The 19,752-nt window shown below is 34.2% G+C and overlaps 1 long non-coding RNA gene across 1 annotated transcript; it reads left to right on the top strand.

The window, feature by feature from the left end:
* Positions 1 to 3,028: 3,028 nt before the first annotated feature.
* LOC107986636 (uncharacterized) lies at positions 3,029 to 19,403 on the top strand. Its single transcript, XR_001744308.2, has 3 exons — positions 3,029 to 3,114; positions 4,731 to 4,870; positions 19,053 to 19,403. It is a non-coding gene; the product is annotated as an uncharacterized LOC107986636 (long non-coding RNA).
* The last annotated feature ends 349 nt before the right edge of the window (positions 19,404 to 19,752 follow it).

Raw genomic sequence — 19,752 nt, forward strand, 5'->3', positions numbered from 1 at the left:
AAGGTATTGACAAGGATTTTTCCTTTGGTGTCAGGATGAAATATGTTGTCACCATCCGAAATACAGCCTTTAAGAAAAAGCATGAATTGACTGGTAGTGTTGAGGAAGTACACTTTCAGATTGGCATGGTAAAACAGGAATTGGATATAAGGTCTTAAAGTCATTTAAGTGATCTTGAATAGGAAAATAGATTTTAGAGTGATTTTCCTACAGCTGGTCTTAGAGAATATGAAATTGGGCCAATTTCTCCCAGAGAGAGTACAAAACGAAAAGATCAGCTGTTGAGGATGAACCCTCCAGGAATATCAACATTTAAAAGGCAGGTGAAGAAAAACCTATTAAGAAGAAGGAGGTGAGGAGCAAAGATAGTAACCGGCTCAAAATAGTATATCTTTTATTAATGTAAGTTAAATAAAGTTTTCAAAACTAGATATGAATTATCAGGGTCAAATGCAGTAGTTAAGTGAAGAAAGATAGGGTGGAAATATCCCTTGTATTTGAATTTCATCAAGTGAAATTTCAAAAAACTAACGAGAGCAAAAGCTAGTTTACATTTGTATCATGGGTGTAAGAATCCAGAACTGCAAGAAGTTCAGATGAGAAGAGGAAGTAGATAGGAAATTAAAGAAATATTTAGGGTATAAAATCCATGCCTATGAGCTGAAAAGGTAGTCTAAAGATAGAGAATCAATAAAGAAATTAGGGAGCATTGTCTTGATGAGAAAAAGTGAAGATAGATAAGGCATGAGGTGGAATAGAAGTGATAAGAGATGAATGGGATTGTAAAGTGGAGGGAGATTAAATCTAAACCTTCAAGGTTCTCATGGAAGAACAAAGGGTCAGTTTACAGAGAATGGCAAGGGACAGAAGCTGACTTAAGGCTTTAAGGAAAGTGGTGAAAATTGGAAATACACATTGAGGAAAATAGAGTTGGGCCAACCACATGCGGCAGACACTGTTAGTGTTCAGCAAACATCATCTACCTTGTCCTCTACATCGCCTGAGCATTCATGTATCTAGGTTTATCTAAACTGAAGTGATGTGTCATATTTAATATATGACAGTTTAAAAGGGGTACACTTACTCCATGCTCTCTTGTTCCTGGCTATAAAACTCTTAAAGGCCATGTGTTCCAGAGTGGAATAGCTATAAGTTGGAAGAGGGTTATCAAGTGTTACCAGAATACAACATGAGCAGAAAGTAAGCCTTATTGTTTTAGGTTACTGAGATTTGGGGATTTATTTGTTATGGCGGCATAGGTGAATCCACCATGAATAACAGAAAGGTTACCGCCAGGATTATAGATAAGAATTTGCAGGACTGGTCTATATGGTTGAGTCATTTTTAACTCTCTGTCTAAGTAAGCTGAAGAAGTGTTGAGATTTACTGGTGGGTAGGACAGACGCACACACACACACACACACACACAGAATTAAGCATTAATAAGCTGGGATAAAAGAAAGTAACAGGGAATAAGGATCTCTTTTAGATTGAAAAGCAGATATGTGAGGGAAGCTGGAGTAAGACTGAAGCATGGAAGATTATACTCAGAGTGTAAAGTTACATTTGTGGTTTTCAAGGTAGAGTGTTTCCTGGTGATGGCTAAGTTCATGGATTTTCCCTTGGGACTGTAGCTGATGTGGAAGCGACATGACAGTTAGGGTGGTCCAGAATTTTCAGGGAAATTATTGCATGACTCATCTACATACATATTGAAACAACTGAAAAAACTGAAGTTCTGATTATTTGCTCAAAATTCATCAGTCACTAAAATAAAATACAAGTCATTGTTAAAGCATTTGCTTGTTTATACTTCTTGTCATATAATGCTTTTATTGGAGGAAACAAAAATGTCTCAGAATTTTTTATGAAGTAACACTACCATAAGGCATGTAGAAGTGACTGCTGTTTGTCAAGTTGTACAATTTTAACATGACAGTTAAATTAATGTATATATTTGAATTCCTACATTTAGCTTCTACTAAATTTGAATAAGGAGATATATGGTGGACTTAACATGTGAATTTAAATTTGCATTTTATTTTCAAGGAATATTAGACTGAATTGTAATGTTATCACTGTATAAAATAATTAAGTGCAAAAGGAACTTTAGTGACAATCCGTTTGATTTTATATACTGTCAAGTTTTTGCATCTGTCCACTAAATAGTTCAATTTATGAGCTGATGTAGACATTATTTTTAACTGAATGTTTCAATGTAGTTTGTGATCTTCAAAAGTATTTCTTCTATAATTTGATGCACAACTGTAATATGATGATGATAAGTTTGAATAGATAAACCTTGACATTGAGAGAGGTATCTTAATGCCTACTTTTAAAGGTATACAAATTAGTACGGGAAAAGAAGCAATTTTAATGCAGAAGTAAGTTATAAAACCTGTAAAATTTGTTTAATAAATTTGATTTGAGTGAGTCAGTGCCTGTAGAACATAAGGAAAGAGTTAGGCTAATTAAGGAATGCAGCTAGAACATCCTGAGAGAGGGCTCTGAGAGCAGGCCATGATGAATTAGACTTGCCTTGTCACCTTTCCTGCAATCTACCCCAACAAAATAACTTTGCCAACTCTAACAGTTTTGTATGGTTTCCACAGCAAATTACTGCAAACTTAGTGTCTTAAAACAACACAAATTTATATCGTAGCTTTGTAGGGCAGAAATCTGCCACAGGTCTTAGTGGGCTAAAATCAAGGTGTCAGCAGGGCTGCAATCCTTCCGTAAGCTGTTTCCTCATGTTTTTGGTTTTCTGGAAGCCACTCACATTTGCTCATGGCCCCCTTCCTCCATTTCAGAGTCAGAAATAATAGATCGTGTCCTCACCCTGCATCTCTCTGGCCACCTCTGCTTCCAGCTTCTACCTTTAAGGACCCTTGTGATGACATTGGGACCAGCTTCATTTCTCCAAATGTCCTCCTCTCATACCTCTCCTTGCACATCAAGCTGCTCACCCTTTGTGCTTTTGCACATGCTGTTTGATTATGAAACTCCATGACCCTCCTCCTCATGATTCACTTGACTGACTATTCAACGCTCAGTTCAGGTGGCTCTTCCTTCAGAAAGCCTTTTTCCATCTACTGTCCTACTGCCCCTCCCAAGGTAAGTACCCAAACAATTTTCTCCAATAGCACTTGATTATTTTCTATCATAATAAATAGAATTCGGTTTTCCAGTTGTGTGGCATTAGTCATTTCCCTCTGTTTGACTCTGAGTTTCTTAAGAATTAGAATCATCTGTAATTCATATTTATAAGCCCAGCATCTAATACACTGTCTGCCTTTTAGCCGGGTGTTTTTCAACCTAGATCACACAACCCGTTAGTGAGTGGGTCATGGAAAAAGTTTGTGTTTGACCATTATTTATTTTTAATAACATAGAAGAGAATGCAAAATATGAGTATGAGAGATAAGGTTATTGTTTTGTAAAAATTTGTTTCAGTCATAACTGTGATTATGTTGCCATGTAAAATATATACCTTATCACTTTTCTGTGGTCATGATGAAAGGAAACCTTAAAAGCTACTACCTTGGTAATATGCAATAAATAACTGTGGAATGAATTATGCACAAATAATTACGTAGCTGATGCCAATACAGTGTACCTTGTGTCTCTACAGATTTCTGGAAACTCCTCTCAATAATGAGCCTGAACCAGATTGTTCTGATCTTCCCTTTACTTGGCTGCAGGCCTCAAACCAGTAGGGAATGTTCCCTGGAAGTTAGATGCTCCCATCTCTACTTAGTGGCTACCAAGAGGCTTATCCCAAGAAAAGCTGGGAAAGTCCCTCTTAGGAGCCTTGCCACTGATTTTTTTTTTCCCCAAGAATCTTTAGTAAAGAGTATCCCACCTCATACCACAGCCTGCAGAATGGTTACAGTGTCCATCCCTCAGCCCTGGGGAGTACTCCGATGTGCCAGAGGCTGCAAAAACACTGCTGGCCAGGCATGGAAGCCCATTCCCCTCGCCCAACAATCCTGGCACAATTCACCCAAGCTGCGAAGTGATCCTTGTCACAGATAATTGAGCTAAAAACATTAATTTAAAAAAGAGAAGGAGGTCATTTCATTATTGTTGGAAGAAAGCTCAAATTGAAGGAGTAAAGAGTCCTAGAATCAAATTTCTATTTCTTTAATCAGAACATCCTGCCACCACTATGGCTAACTTTATTTCCATGTGTTTGTTTATTTGTCACTTTTCCATGTGTTTATTTGTCACGTTTCCATGTGTTTATCTATTTGTCATTTTTCCAAAAGTACTTGAGGTAACTTAACCTCTCTGAGATCCAGTGATGTGAAGGCAGAGGAAAAGAAGGAAAAAAATTAAACAGAAAAAAAATGAACTTTTCTTTGATATGTCAAGAGAAAGTGGATCTACCTACCCTCTGCCTAATCATTTTCATGAAGTTTTTGGAATTTAATGGTGGAGGTTGCAATAGAAAGGATGAAATGTATTTCATTATCAAAAAACTCTGGGAAAATAATTTTTCAGCAATGTGAGTACTCTCTGTGTAACTACCACAGTGGGCAGAAGTTGGTCATTCTATACCTGGTTAGAACTATTTCCTGTTAGTCTCCCTTTGTTTAAGGGATATAAAAGCTGCTTCTGTGTCAGATACAGAGTACCCGAGAATATAAAAACAATAGAATACTTTTCCTCTTACATCTCTGCTTACAAATAATGAGGTTTGTTCTGAATTGTATTTTTCTTCTTTGTAGTTAAGAGCAGGTGCTGCAAACGGACTGCATTTGTTGGGGTTGCTCAGCAGGAAATTGGGGGGGCAGTGAGTGACTCACCAAAACTGAGGGATACGAAAGGACAATAGAATAACAACAGAGAAAAACATGAAGACAGAAAGGTAAGAAAAAAGATGGTTCTTAAAGTAAAAACTAGTTTGGACGTTTGGCTGAAGAATTAATTTACAGTGAAGAGCACAGAAGGGAAATAAAATTGGAATAGAGAAAAGAATGTGAAGAACTAAGCAAAAACCACTAATGTTTGATGACCTGTCAATTCTCAAATGAAAAGCAGGTGTCCTGTCTCCTAACCCAATCCTACAAAGACTCAGGGCTTCCAAAGGGAAAGGAAAGGCAGGCTTCGATTACAGCTAAAATATGCCTATATCACATTGGATGTATGCATTTTCTACTTTTGTTTTGAAGTCGCCCTGACTACATCTGTGAAGGATTTGAGGCAACTTTCCGTCTCATATATATATATTTTTTATTATACTTTAAGTTCTAGGGTACATAAGTCTATGTTTCTTTCTATCAACTGGTTACTATCTTAAATTACATAGTGTCTCCTACTTTGTCTCATCTCTAATTACTAATTAACTCACATTTTATAACTTTTATAGTAGAGTAGAGATTCTGGTTCTCCTTCTGAGATGCAGCACTAGTATGAGAAACAGTCACTTTGTACCAGAACTTTAAACTGTATCATTTGAAAATCAACAGAGAGCAGAAATCTAATTAGCCAGGCCCCCTGTGGCCGGAGCTGCTGTAAACCCTGGAGCCTCTTCCTGGCGAGGTGCTGAATGAAAGGAGTCAGAGATCAAGGCACAGCTGGGAAAGGTTAGCTCTGTCCGCAGAGTGTCTTTCCAGAGTGAGCAGACCCCTGACAAAGAGAGGGTTGATGGAAGCATGTGGTGGAGCTTTCTCGGGACATCAGGGTCACATATATGGTACAGATCCCATAGCACCTGTGACAGCATCGGTCTACCCTTTCCATGTTAAAATAAACAACTCTAGTTTCTCCTCACTCTTTCAGTTTGAGAAGAGAAATAATGGAACAATTGTGCTTTTTTCCTGGGTATCAGATGATTTTATTTTTAAAATACATATATATGTGTGTGTGTGTGTGTGTGTGTATATATATATTGCACATAGTGAACACACTGATTCGTTCTATAGAATTCAAGGAAACCAGCAGTCAGAAAGTTTTTCTCCAGAATATTATGGCTTGGAACAGTCGAGAAAAAGAATCATAGCATATTGATTATGGTACATCAGAATCATAACATTAAAAATCAGAAAAACAGGCTTTTTTTTCCCAAGAAATTTTGTCTTCTGAAATGTGTATATAAAGTATACATCTATATTTCTATGTGTTAAAAAGGTAAACTGAAGCACAATGAAATTTTTAAAGAGTTTATTTTAACCAAACAACGATGTGTGAATTGGGTAGCTCCAAACCAGAAGTGGTTCTGAAGCTTGACTGGTGAATTCAAGGGGTAGGTTTTTCCAGAGGAAACATAGAAATAAAGCAAAGAAAATATTTGATTGGTTATAGTTATACAGTTGCCTTATTTGGTCTATCCCATTGAAAAGCCTCTAGTTATATATACTTACATAAGTTTGCTGGTGGATTCTGACTGGTTGAACTTAAGTTCTGTCTTTCCTTAATATAGGTGTTTACTAGAAATAGATCAAGTTAAGTTTTGCTTACGTTTGCAAATCAAGCAAGGTTTAGGCCACTTAGGAGACCTAATTGGCTTGGCCTACTAAGGGCTTCTTCAGGCTTAGTCTCCATTTTAATTTCCTTTAACATGTACATATATATACACACACACTTAATTTATACATAAATATGTGTGTGTGTGTGTGTGTGTGTGTATATATATATATATATATATTTTTTTTTTTTTTTTTTAATGGAGAAATGGTCATTTGTAAGTTTGGGTATCTTCTTTTAGTGGATAGGATTTCAACCTTCTTTCCTGTTTGGGAGGAGCTTCCTACTGCGTGTTGTCTTGTTGAAAGGCAATGATCTGCCTCCCACTACCAACACCAGAAGAGTGAGAATTTCTCTTGCTCTGTCCCGGTAGGCAGTGTATATGCACGTGACTTAGCATCAGCTCATCGGATGCCCCAAATCAGATCTTTGTCTCTGAAGTGAATGTTACAAAGAATGAAAAACAGCAAGAATTCTTTCAAGGCTGCAGAGGAGTCTATGTCCTAAAGCCTCAGAAGACCTGGTCTGTTTCTGCTAAAAAAATACACGTTGTGCTTCTGGCTTTTTGGCTGTAAGAATCTATCTCGATGCCAGGTCTGGTTCTCAGCTGCCCATTGACTCTGTGACCCTACATTAAGCAAATCAGAGTAAGTTTCCATTTTTTTGTAACCAATTGCATTGTAAAATATGCAAATGTTGAGAATAGATTCAGTCTCAGTCCTGCCATTTAAGATCTTCTCTCCCCAAAATAAATTCTGACAATTATCAAATTGGCAGTTTTATGGAATAGGAGTTACAGCATTAGATAATAATAATTCCTCTGCCTCAAAACAAGTTGTTCCAAAGTAATAAAAAGTAATAAGATAAGTTCTGTGATTTTGAAGTTAGGAGGAAGTAAAAACTTGTTCCTTCTTACATCTGGAAACTTGAACTCTACTATAATATTTATTTGTTTTAAAAAGTCACTATCATAAATGTTCTCAATAAAAATATTAAATGATATTGTAGTATGAACAATTTTTATGGCAGGAGACAGCAGCAGCCTTGAGGGATGAACTTTTGTTTTTTATAAATTATGTTAAAAAGCTAACTTACTATTGAGCTGATATTTTTTGCCTATTAGAGCATTTCAACTACCTTCAAAATCATATGGCATATCCAAGCTAAATCACAGGGTGTTCATCAGAGGTAATCACTAAATCCTCTAAAAATTATAATATCACCCAATACAATGGATGGACCTATTCTAACATTAGGAAGTATTTCTATGTTTTAAGTTATCATGGTATATAAAAAGGTATGTGGTAGACTATTTTAAAATAACATTTTAATTTTTATAATATTTTAGGAAAAATTTAGCATACAATGAAATTTTTTTAATTACTTAAATCAATATGATTGAGGAAGAGCATAAGAGAATAAATTAAAGTCATCCTAGCCAAAGTTCTTGGTCAGGAATTTTACATGGTGAGATTAAAATAATATTTTTAAACAATCCAGTCAACAAAATCATGAAACTTTTTGCAGTTAACAGCTATAAACACCTGCATGCATGCAGAGATAACCTTCAAACAAGTTCATTTATGAAAAGATACTGAAATCCAAGATGATGATAATAATTGAAAAAAATGAGCTGACTTCCTATGAAACTCAGAACTACTATGTAATACCTTTATCAATAGCTATTTTGTTAAAAAATTATTAAGAGTATCCTGTTTTCGGCCGGGTGCGGTGGCTCACACCTGTAATCCCAGCACTTTGGGAAGCCGAGGCGGGTGGATCACGAGGTCAAGAGATCGAGACCATCCTGGCCAACATGGTGAATCCCAAGCTCTACTAAAAATACAAAAATTAGCTGGGCATGGTGGTGTGCGCCTGTAGCCTGTAATCCCAGCTACTCGGGAGACCAAGGCAGGAGAATCGCTTGAACTCGGGAGGCGGAGGTTGCAGTGAGCCCAGATCATGCCACTGCACTCCAGCCTAGCGACAGAGCGAGACTCCATTCCACCGCTCACCAAAAAAAAAAAAAAAAAAAAAAAAAAAAAAAAAAAAAAAAAAAAAAGACTATCCTGTTTTCCTAAAAGACATTCCTTGAGTAAGTCTTCTTAGCAGTTACACTATGACAAGCCAAAGGCATCTCCATAAGGAAGTCTCAAGGAAACCTTCCAAATCTCAGGAATGTAGAATAAATTGAACAAACGTGTGGAGAGCTAGAATCAGAAATTCATGATAATAACACTTACTCCTTTTATGTGTCTAAAAGCTCTGAAAGAGAAGATAATGGATGTACTATAGAACATGTAAACTTTAAACTATACAAAGTTCTATAGGGAATATCAAACAATGGCCTTTGGTGATAAAAAAGAGCAAGCAAAACGAGATATATGAATGGATAACCAATAATATATTAGTACAATTTTATTTGCCAGGATGGGCTAAAGTAGGTTTTGAGAGACACAATAAGTTTGCAAAGTCTCTAAAAAGATACATAAAAATTTAAAAATATGCAAAAGAGATACTGAAGTTCTTAAAAAAGAAACAAGAAGAAACATATAGTACCCCAAGTATAGTGATCATCATTTGTTGAAGCATGCATCATTTCTCCTTGTTGATACCATCTAAAAACTTCTAGGTATAAGTTGTTTAGGGCTTCAAAAGACTCTAATATGTTCTAATTGCTTTTCGTAAAGCACACTGATTAAATCTAACAACCAGTACTAGCATTTAAGCAGATGAATTTGATGGGGGAGAATTACACAACCAGGACCACTCATTTTCTCTTAAAATTAGGATCAAGAAATTTCAAGTGGATATTTACTGTTGTCAATAGTTCTATGTACTTTCCAAGCAAAGTCATTTTGCCACTTTCCTCTATACTTATTTCACATCTTTTTTTGTTAACTCCTGCATATGGCATAGAGGTTAAAATTGCAGGTTCTATAAGTTAGCTAAGAGATAGAGCAATTGGATCTCTTATACTTTGCAAGTGGAAGTATAATGAGCTCAGAATTGCTTGGCTGAATCTACTAAAGCAATTCGGCTTCTAGGCACATTCCCAAAAATATATACATACATATGTGTGTGTGTGTGTGTGTATAACAAAATACATGTGCAAGAACAATCATAGATGTTTTACTCATAATGGTCATAAACTGGAAAGTAATCCAAATGTCCATCAATAGCAAAGCAAAAAATATGTGGTATATTTACACAATAGCATTCCACAGAGCAATAAAAAAAAAAAAAAACAACGGCCGATGCATGCACCAACATGGATCAAAGCCAGATGCAAAGGGAGCATAACATATGATTTCATTTGTGTACAGTTCCAAAATCAGGAATAACTTACGAATGGTAATAGAAGCCAGTATGGTGATAGACTTCTGAGTGAATGATTATTGACTGGGAAGGAGCACATTGAAACCCTGTGGGGTGCTGGAATTATTCTGTTTTTTTAATCTAGATGGTAGCAGTGTGGAACTGTGAATGTGTGGAAATTCATTGAACTATACATTAATTGGTGCATTTTTGTATTTTCTATATGTATTTTAATTTTTTTTAAATTTTGAAAGATGTATAGATTCACAGGAGATTGCAAAAATGTACTGGGAATTCCTATGCATTCCTCCCACAGCTTCCCCTTAAATATAACATCTTATACACACATGTTAAAATAGCAAAACCAATATACTGAGATTTATACAATACATACAGCTTATTCAGATTTTTAGGTTACACATACACTATTTCATGTACATAGTTTTATGCAATTTTATCACATATGTAGCCTTGTGTAACTACCATTGCAATCAAGATACTCAACTGTTATATCACCATAAGATTCTCTTCATAGTCATGCATCCATCTTCCTCATCCCTAGCTCCTGGCAAACACTAATCTGCTCTCCATATCTCTGATTATGTTCTTTCACAAATGTAACATAATGGAAGCAAGCAGTTTGTATTCTTTTGAGACTGGCTTTTTTCACTCAGCATAATTCCTTGATGTTCATCCAAATTGTTGTGTATATCAACAGTCTGCTCCTTTTTACTGATGAATAATATTCCATGATGTGGATATACCATAGTTTCTTTAACCATTTACCGATTAAAAAAACATTTGGGTGGTTTCCAGCTTATGGCTATTATGAATAATGGTGCTATGAACACTCATGTGCACATTCTTGCACAGAAATAAGTCTTCATTTATCTGGAATAAATGGCTAAAAGTACTATTTTGGGGTTGTATGGTATGTTTATTTTTTAATTCTTAAAGGAGCTGCCAAATTATTTTCTAGAGTGGCTGTACTATATTACATTCCCATCAGCAATGCCTGAATAGTCCAGGTTCTCTGCAACCTCACCAGCATTTAGTGTTATCATTCTTTTCATCCATTTTGCCCATTCTGATAGGTGTGTAGTGATAGCTCATTGTAATTTTAGTGTATATTTCTCTAATGGCTAATGATATTGAACATCTTTTTATGTGCTTATTTTCTATTTGTATATCTTTTTTGGTTATACATTATATATTATTTCTATCAATACAAATGTAAAAAAAAATTGCCTTTAAGAAAACCATTGTAGGCTGTGATGACTCCTTTAGTGTGAACCCCACCTCTGTGGCTTACCAGCTATGTAATCTTAAGGAAGTCACTTAAAATTTCTCTTCCTCAGTTTTCTTCTTTATAGAATGGTCTAACTAAGATGTTGGAGGTATTTAATACATTCGTGTATTTAAAGTCCTTAAAATTGTGCCTGGGAGATAATCAGAATAAATGATATGTTAACAAAAACAAACCTTTCCAAAATCTTCTTCTGTTTGTCTCCTCATTCTCAGTTGCTAGCTCATCTTAAACAGAGAATTATAAGACATTAATCTAAGTATATTAGATCTATTAATTCAGTAAGTCCTTACAACAACCTTAGAAGGTAGCCCTACACTTAACACATGAGGAAATTAAGCCACAGAAGGATCAAGTAGTTGCCCTAGATTAGAAAGCTCTCAGAGGCCAGGCTAAGGAACTGAACCTAGGCAGTCTGCCCTGGGGCAGTGCTCTGAACCAGGAAGTAGTCAAATGGGATTGGACTCATTTCACCACTGTAAATGCACTCATGGATGCTTCTGAACTCATTTACTTGACATTTCTTCCTTTCACAGGAAAATAAGAGTGTATATTCACTCATCTAAGGCCAGTCACTGCAACTGTGCTTGCATCCTATCTCTGTAACTCGTTCACAAACTTTACTTCTGTTATCTCACTTCTCTTCTGCATCCTCAAATTTCCCTCAACCTGTATTGCTTTTATTGATATAGCAACATGCCTTAACATTGGATCTCTTCCACACTTGTGGTGACTTTGTATTCCTCTACAGTTGTCAGAGTTCTCTCTTCAGTTCATAGCAAAATTCACTTAATGAGTTATCTATGTATCTGTGGGATCCACTTATTTATCTGCCTTTACTTTTAAGGAATTCCAACGAGGCTTTGTCCCCACAACTTACTAGATCTCTTACTACATTATTAAGTCACAAAAAACTTCACTTTTTTCTTGCCTTTTAAATTATCAAGTCCACCCTCTCTCTCAAAAAAACTTTTCTTTAACTTTATATTACCATGTGGTTGCTTAATTCCCTTTAGCCTCTTGGCTACTGCTGTTTATTTTTCTTTCTGAGTCTTTCTTCCTGGCCCAATATCTTAATGAAAGCATGACTTCTATCTCAGTTCTCATCTGTCTTTTCTTTCCTGGCCTTGTCCTTTCCCTAGATGGACTTATCCAGACCTATGGCTTTAAGTACCTCTATATGCTAATGATTTTTTAATTCATATCTCCAGCTATGACCACTCTACTGAGATCTTGAGTTTTATGTCCATCTGCCTACTTGACAGCTGCACTTAAATATCCTATTGGCTTCTGACTTTGACATTGTTGTTCAAAACTAATCACTTCATTCCTGTCTGCCTAATACTCCAAACCTAACTCTCCCTTAGTCTTCCTAAACTTAGGGATGCTAAGCCCAAAGTTTAGAAGTTTGTTTTAAATTATTCTTTCTTCTACTCTATTTATGCAAGCCATATAAACATGAAGATAACAAATCAAGTCACAGATGACCATCTTCATTGCTGTCATGTCAATCCTTGAGATTCTGCAGCATCCTCTATTCTTGTTTTACTCTTGCTTCTTCCATACAGCAGACAAAGTGATCGTTTTAAAGTATAAATTAGATTTTACTATATTCTTGCTTAAAATTCTCTAGTGGCTTCTTGTTACATTTAAACTAAAACTACAAACCTTATCAAAAGACTTGTCATCATCTAAAAAGGATGAGCTAGCAATTAAAGACACTTGTGAAGCCCTCTGGATGCAGACTTATTTAAGATGTTTATGTTATTTTCTTCTATATTTATAATTGTCTGGCTAAATTAAATTTAACATTTATATCTGTACCAATTCATCTTAATATTTTTAATATGTCTAAAGCTTTCAACTTAGTTTTCATAGAAATAACATTTTCAGTTTGTCACTCACACTTAATTGGCTTAGTGTAACACTAGTTAAATTATAATTAAAATAATAAGTACATTTTCTATAAACAGATTTGGTCACAATTTAAATGCTTCTTGTTAATCCACTGAGGAAACAGAAATAAGGTTATGCCTTAGCCTAACCTTTCCGTGCTCTCCTGAACGTTTAACCAGTTAAAATTCCTAAACCTTTAACTCCTGAACCTGAACTAGTTAAACAACTGGGGAATGGCCCAGCGCTTTTGTCAATGAACTTAATACAATTTTATTAAATTTGGATATTTACATGTTCTCATATTCTAGATACAAGCAAAAGAATAAAGATGTTTATTTGGCCATCATCAAAAGACCCTTAGGCATATTTATATAACTTTAGGAGAAATAAGTTTTTCTAAAATAATAGATTTGTCTGTTTTGAAACAATTGCAAACATCATATATTTAATTAGATTCTTCTATTTTCTCAGGACACCAAAAGATTTATGAGGCTTTAAATTCAGTTGTAAAGTCAAGACTGATGGAAGAAATATTAATGAACATACCTGGAAGACTCATAGATTTTATGAAAGACCTTCATAGATATCGTCTACAACCTGCATATATTATATAATAAAATATTGATAGAACTACATATTGGAAATAATTATTTTTAATAAATTACTGTATATATAATTTAATTTTCTGATAAACCAGTGAAAATTAAAAATATTGTCCTTTTGTACCATACACAAAAATTCTGTCCATCTGCCTAGTGTAACACAACAAATTCCTTGATCAAATAATGGATAAGAGCTCAATACCAGAATTATTGAATACACTGAGAAAAATTTAATGCATAGTTATTTCAGATTCACATATTATGCATTGCTTCATTTAAAACCCTAATTAATATCCCAAAAGAATTATCTTATGAACAAATTTTTTCCAGAAATTATTTATCTCACCCATACTGGTAAAATAAACAATAAATATTAAGCCAATGGTAGGAAAGGTCCATTTTGATGCATTTTTTACATCAAAATTAATGAGGTTTAAGCATGCAATGCCATTAAAAATTTTTTTTAAAGTCTATTCTTTGTGTAAAGCCCAGGATTACTTTTTGGGATGGTAGTAATGTTTGGAGTGTATAAGAGTTTCCAACCATTTGGAAGGTATTAGCTTTAATCTGTAGCAGACTATTATGGTATTTGCAAGTCTATCTTTGAAATTGTCTCACTTAAGTTAATGTAATATGTACCTCATTAAAGAAATATAAAATGCAAGCTTTTCTATTTTAACCAAGCTAAAAAAAATAGCCAATTCTGAATATCTAAAATATTCTTGAACTTTTTGTATTTTTTGAGGAAACTATAACAACTCTTGCCAAAGAAGCATTTTCTAAATTTCTCAAAAAGTTATTTGAGTTAGAAAGTTAAATAATTGATTTTGCTTAATTTCTTGCCAGCTGGGGACTTACAAAGAGAGCATTTATTTAAAAACCAATTAAATATGGTGTGTCAGTGGAACATAGTTTGGAGAAGGAAGATGCATGCTGTGACCAAAATTTAACACATATCCTCGAAGTATCTAAATTTCCTGAACTTCTTGCAAATGAGCTGGTTCATGCTTAAATACTTAGTACATCAATCTTTAACTTGAAAGATTATATTTATATATTTTAACTTTTATTTGAATAAAAGTTACTCATCACGCTTTTATTTGATAAACCAAATATAATGCTTTATATAGTCTTCAGAGAATGAATGTCAGCAAATAAAAGCTGAGGTCTCAAGCTAGGCACACTAAAGTTTTATCATAATGAGACTGTGTCAACAAAGTAGAATTATAATGGTTCCTCTTGGGATAACAGTGGGAATTAATTTTAAAATGGAAATGTGAAATACTTAAAGTTAGAAAGATGAATGTTAGTAAGCTAGTAATTTACTAGCTTATTAATTTAGAGGGAAAAATATGAAGTAAAGAGAACTTTTATGAAATTTTCACAAGGAGGTCAAAACATTAGCTAAGGATAGCTAAGGTAAATTTACATGCACTTTAACTTTACCACATGAATGATTTGTCAATGAATTAGAAAACCAAGCAAAAATCTTCAAACCTGTCACAATCTTTTCATGTAGTCCATAACCTGTAAAATTCACAGCCTATGTTACCTAAGTCTGCATGAACGTTTCCAACAATGAATCAGCATGTGCAAAAGAAAACCAGCACAGATTAAATGCTGAGTGTGCCTGGGTATCCCCAAACATATCTACCCAAGCTTCCTATACGTCATATTTTTCTTTTTACAGTGTCAAGCAACAAAACATACAGAAACAGAAGTGAGTGATGGAAAAACAGTATTTTAAAGTCACATTGTCATATACACTCATTCTTTTGATGTTGTTTTATGAACACTTTCAAGAATCTATATCTAATCAGTCTAAACCTTTGGTAATACAGGATTGAGACATTTTAAATTTGTTCCTAAGAAATTAAACAATACAGATTCAGCTAAAACTTATGTATGTATATCTCTTTTCAATGCAGTTCTCCAGTCTTCCTTCTGTAAATGTGACTTAGTAAGTTCGGGGTGCTGTAACAAATACCATAGACTGGATGACTTAAACAACAAACATTTCCTTCTCACAGTTCTAGAGTCTGGAAGTGTAAGATCAGGGTTCCAGTATAGTGGGGTTCTTGGTGAAGGCCCTGTTTTTGGTTTGCAAACAGACATCTTCTTATTGTATCTTCACATGGCAAAGTGTAGAGAGAGATGAAACAAACTCTTTCTTGTCTCTTCTTATAAGGATACTAATTCCATCATAGGACTCCATTCTCATGACCTAATTAACTTCCAGAGGCCCCATCTCTAAATCCCATCACATTGGAGATTAAAGTTTTAGTATATTGATGTTGGATGGACAAAAATATTCAGTCCATATCAAGATGTAACCACCATAGTGAATTTAGTGTTTATCATTTTCAATAATATGTTTGTCTTATATTTTTACCACAAACCTACCATGCATAAATATACACAGTAATAGGTATCATAATGTTTATATAGGATTATAAATTGCTTTTTTAATGGACCTATATTTTGAGTTCTGTGCTCAAAATATAGATAAATTTTCTAGATAAATTTTCTAGTTTGTTTTTGTGACAATAGATATGCTGCAATTTCATTTGTTTGTTCTGAGATGGGTATTTAAGATGCTTCAGATATTTGCTATTACAAATAATGCTGAAAAAAGTGTGTTTTATCAGGCATACATTTAAAAGTTTCTATAGCATATATCCCTAGAAATAGAATTTCTGGATTTTAAGACATACAAATCTTAATTTTACTAGATATTGTTAAGTTGCTTCCCATAGAGGTTGTATCAATTTACTCTGCTACCATAAACATGACAATTCTTTGCCAGCATGCAGTTTTGTGATATTTCCAAAAAATTTCATCAGTCTCATGCACCTAATTTTTGTTTTAAATTGAATTTCTATGATTGCTTACAAAATTAAGCAACTTTTCACATTTATTGGCCATGTAGATTTCTTCTTTTGTAAATTGCTCCCATGTTTATTTTATTTTCATTCACTTCTTTGCCGTTTGCTTATTCATTTGTAGATGTTAATTATATTTTCTGAGTAATAATCCCTTGTTATATCTTTACTGGGGCAGGAGACATTGGCTGTGTGTTTGTGTGTGCACACGTGTGTTGTGTGTGTATGTATGTGCATATATGTATTTGGGTCAGTTGTCCCTTGATATCCATGGAGGATTGGTTCCAAAACCTCCTACAGATGACAAAATATGCAGACTCTCAAGTCCCTGATATAAAATAAAATGGCGTATTCGCATATAGCCTATGCACATCCTTCTATATACTTTAAATCATCTCTAGATTACTTACAATGCCTAATGCAATGTAAATACTATGTAAATAGTTGTTCTACAATATCATTTAGATATAACAAGAAGAAAATAAAGACTGTACACATTCATTACAGACACAGTATTTTTCAAATATTTCTACCCACATTTGGTTGAATTTATGGATGCAGAGCCCACGAATAAGAAGGGCCAGCTATATATAGTCTATACATAAATCTGATATACATCTGTTCCACCTGGATGGGTGTGTTTTAGGACATTGTTACATTGCTTTATTTGTCTTGCTCTATAATATCTAGTAAGTGGTTTAATTAAGATAACTTAAAAATAAATATTGATTTTTGCAGGAAAAACACCTCTCAATACATATTTTATTCTCCTTTGTCTATTTTTTATATTTTCTTTTTGCCATGAAGTTTAAATTACCTTTTCAAGTTTTATGTGACAACTATTTATCCAGCTTTAGTAGCAATTCTTAAATTAGCAATATGTTTTATGAATGTAACTTATATTTTGTTTGTTTTTTATAATTTTTCTTTTTAGTTTGTTGGGGGTACATATTAGGTGTATACATTTATGAGGTATGTGAGATATTTTGGTACAGGCATGCAATACATAATAATCACAACATGGAAAATGGGGTATCCATCCTCTCCAGCATTTATCCTTTGTGTTCCAAATAATCCAATTATATTCTGTTAATTATTTGAAAATGTACAATTAAATTATTATTGATGACAGTCACTCTGTCATGCTATTAAATACTAGGACTTATTCATTTATTCTAATATTTTTTTGTACTCATTAAACATCCCCATCTCCCTGCCAACACAACCCAATACTCTTCTCACCCTCTGGTAACCATCCTTCTGCCCTCTTTCTCCATGAGTTCAACTGTCTTCATTTTTAGATCCCATGAATAAGTGAGAACATGTGATGTTTGTCTTTCTGTACCTGGCTTATTTTACTTAACATAATGACCTCCAGTTCCATCTGTGTTGTTGCAAACGGCTGAATCTCATTCTTTTTTTATATCTCAATAGTACTCCATTATGTATTTGTGCCACATATTATTTATCCATTCATCTGTTGGTGGATACTTAGGTTGCTTCCAAATTTTGGCTATTGTGAACAAAGCTGCAACAAACATGGGAGTGTAGCTATCCCTTTGATATAATGATTTCCTTTCTTTTGTATATATACCCAGCAGTGGGATTGATGCATCGTATGGTAGCCCTATTTTTAATCTTTTGTGAATGTAACCTACTTTAAATGATTGATGCAAATTAGGTTCCTAAGGCTTACATTTCCCCAAACATTTATTTATTTGTCTGTTTATTTACTTAATTTGATTATGGTATAATAAATTTAAGTTGTTTAGAGTATACAATTGTATCTAGTTTTGACATCTCTAAACACCTGTGAATGCTTTAAGACAATTAAGATGATCATTTTTATTATTCCTAAAGTTTAATTGTACTACTTTCCATCCCATCCCTCCTTTTACCCCTGCCCCAGGCAATTACCAGTGTGATTTCTATTTCTGGATTTAGTTTACACTTTTTAGAATTTTATACACATGACATCATATCATATGCATTACTTTTGTATAGTTTCTTTCATTTAGCAAATAGATTTTTATAATCATCCATGTTGTGGTCTGTATCAATAGTTTATTCCTTTATTTTCTGTGTGATAGTGAATGAATGATCCATTGAATGGATGTATTTCAATTTACGTATGCATTAACCTGTTGATGGATATTTGCATTTTTTTCCAGTTTGAGGCTCTTACATATAAAATTGCTGTGAATATTTATGTACAAGCCTTCATGTGAATGTGCCTTTATGTTTTATTGCTCTTGGATATATACCTAGGAGTGGAATGCCTAGATGATATGGCAGGCATTTAAGTTTTCACTAAACTGCAAATTAGTTTTTAAAGTGGTTGTACTATTCTACATTCCCACTAGCAGTGTAAGAGAATTCCAGTCCTTTCATATTATCACCAATACTTAGTGTGGTTAGAACTACATTTTTGTGTTAATTTCTCAGCCTACTTATGTAAATTCAAGCACAAAACTCATGTGAGAAGTGGGAAAAATTTGACAAATCCCAGATAATATTTTTCCTTGCCTAACCAGAGCAGAGTCCTGGTCAGATAATATCCCTTATTTTCTTTCTCTACAGGTGTGTGGACTTGTTTTTGCCCACTCTTTCATTGATGGTACAGCACTTTAAAGGCCCTCGCTTTAGGCGATGGCTCCTTTCATAACTTCCTAACTTTCAGGACCTGAAGGACTCATCTCCTATGCCTGTGTGTGTCACTAGGCTTTTGAGACAGGTAAGGCAACACCTATCACTTGCTGCCCCAACTTCCCAATTTCTACCCCCAGTCCCAATTTTTATAGCCTCCTCTTCTGGACTACATTTCCCTCTTTGATTTTGTTCTTAAAGAAATTGAGACTAGCTAATTAAAATTAATGTATGCACATTTACTATTTTGGTTACTTCTACAGCAAAACAAAACTATTAGCTAATTAACCAAATATATTCTCCCACAATTTTTTTTTTGTGTAAGCCAAACAATTAAATTAAATTTAAAAAGTAGAATAAAATAAGAACTTTGAAGCAGTCCCATTCACAATAGCTGAGAGGTGAAAGCAGCCCAAATATCCATTGATGGATGGATGAATAAACAAAATGTGTTATATTCATACAATGAAATCTTTTTCAGCTTTAGAAAGGAAGGAAATACTGTCGTAAACTACAACATGAATGAACCTTGAAGACATTATGCTAAGTGAAATAAGCCTGTCACAGAAAAAAAAATACGGTATGATTCCACTTGTATGAAATATTTAAAGTAAGAAAATTCATAGAAATACAA

The sequence above is a fragment of the Homo sapiens genome, chromosome 6, assembly GCF_000001405.40.
Source record: "Homo sapiens chromosome 6, GRCh38.p14 Primary Assembly".
Taxonomy (NCBI): Eukaryota; Metazoa; Chordata; class Mammalia; order Primates; family Hominidae; genus Homo; species Homo sapiens.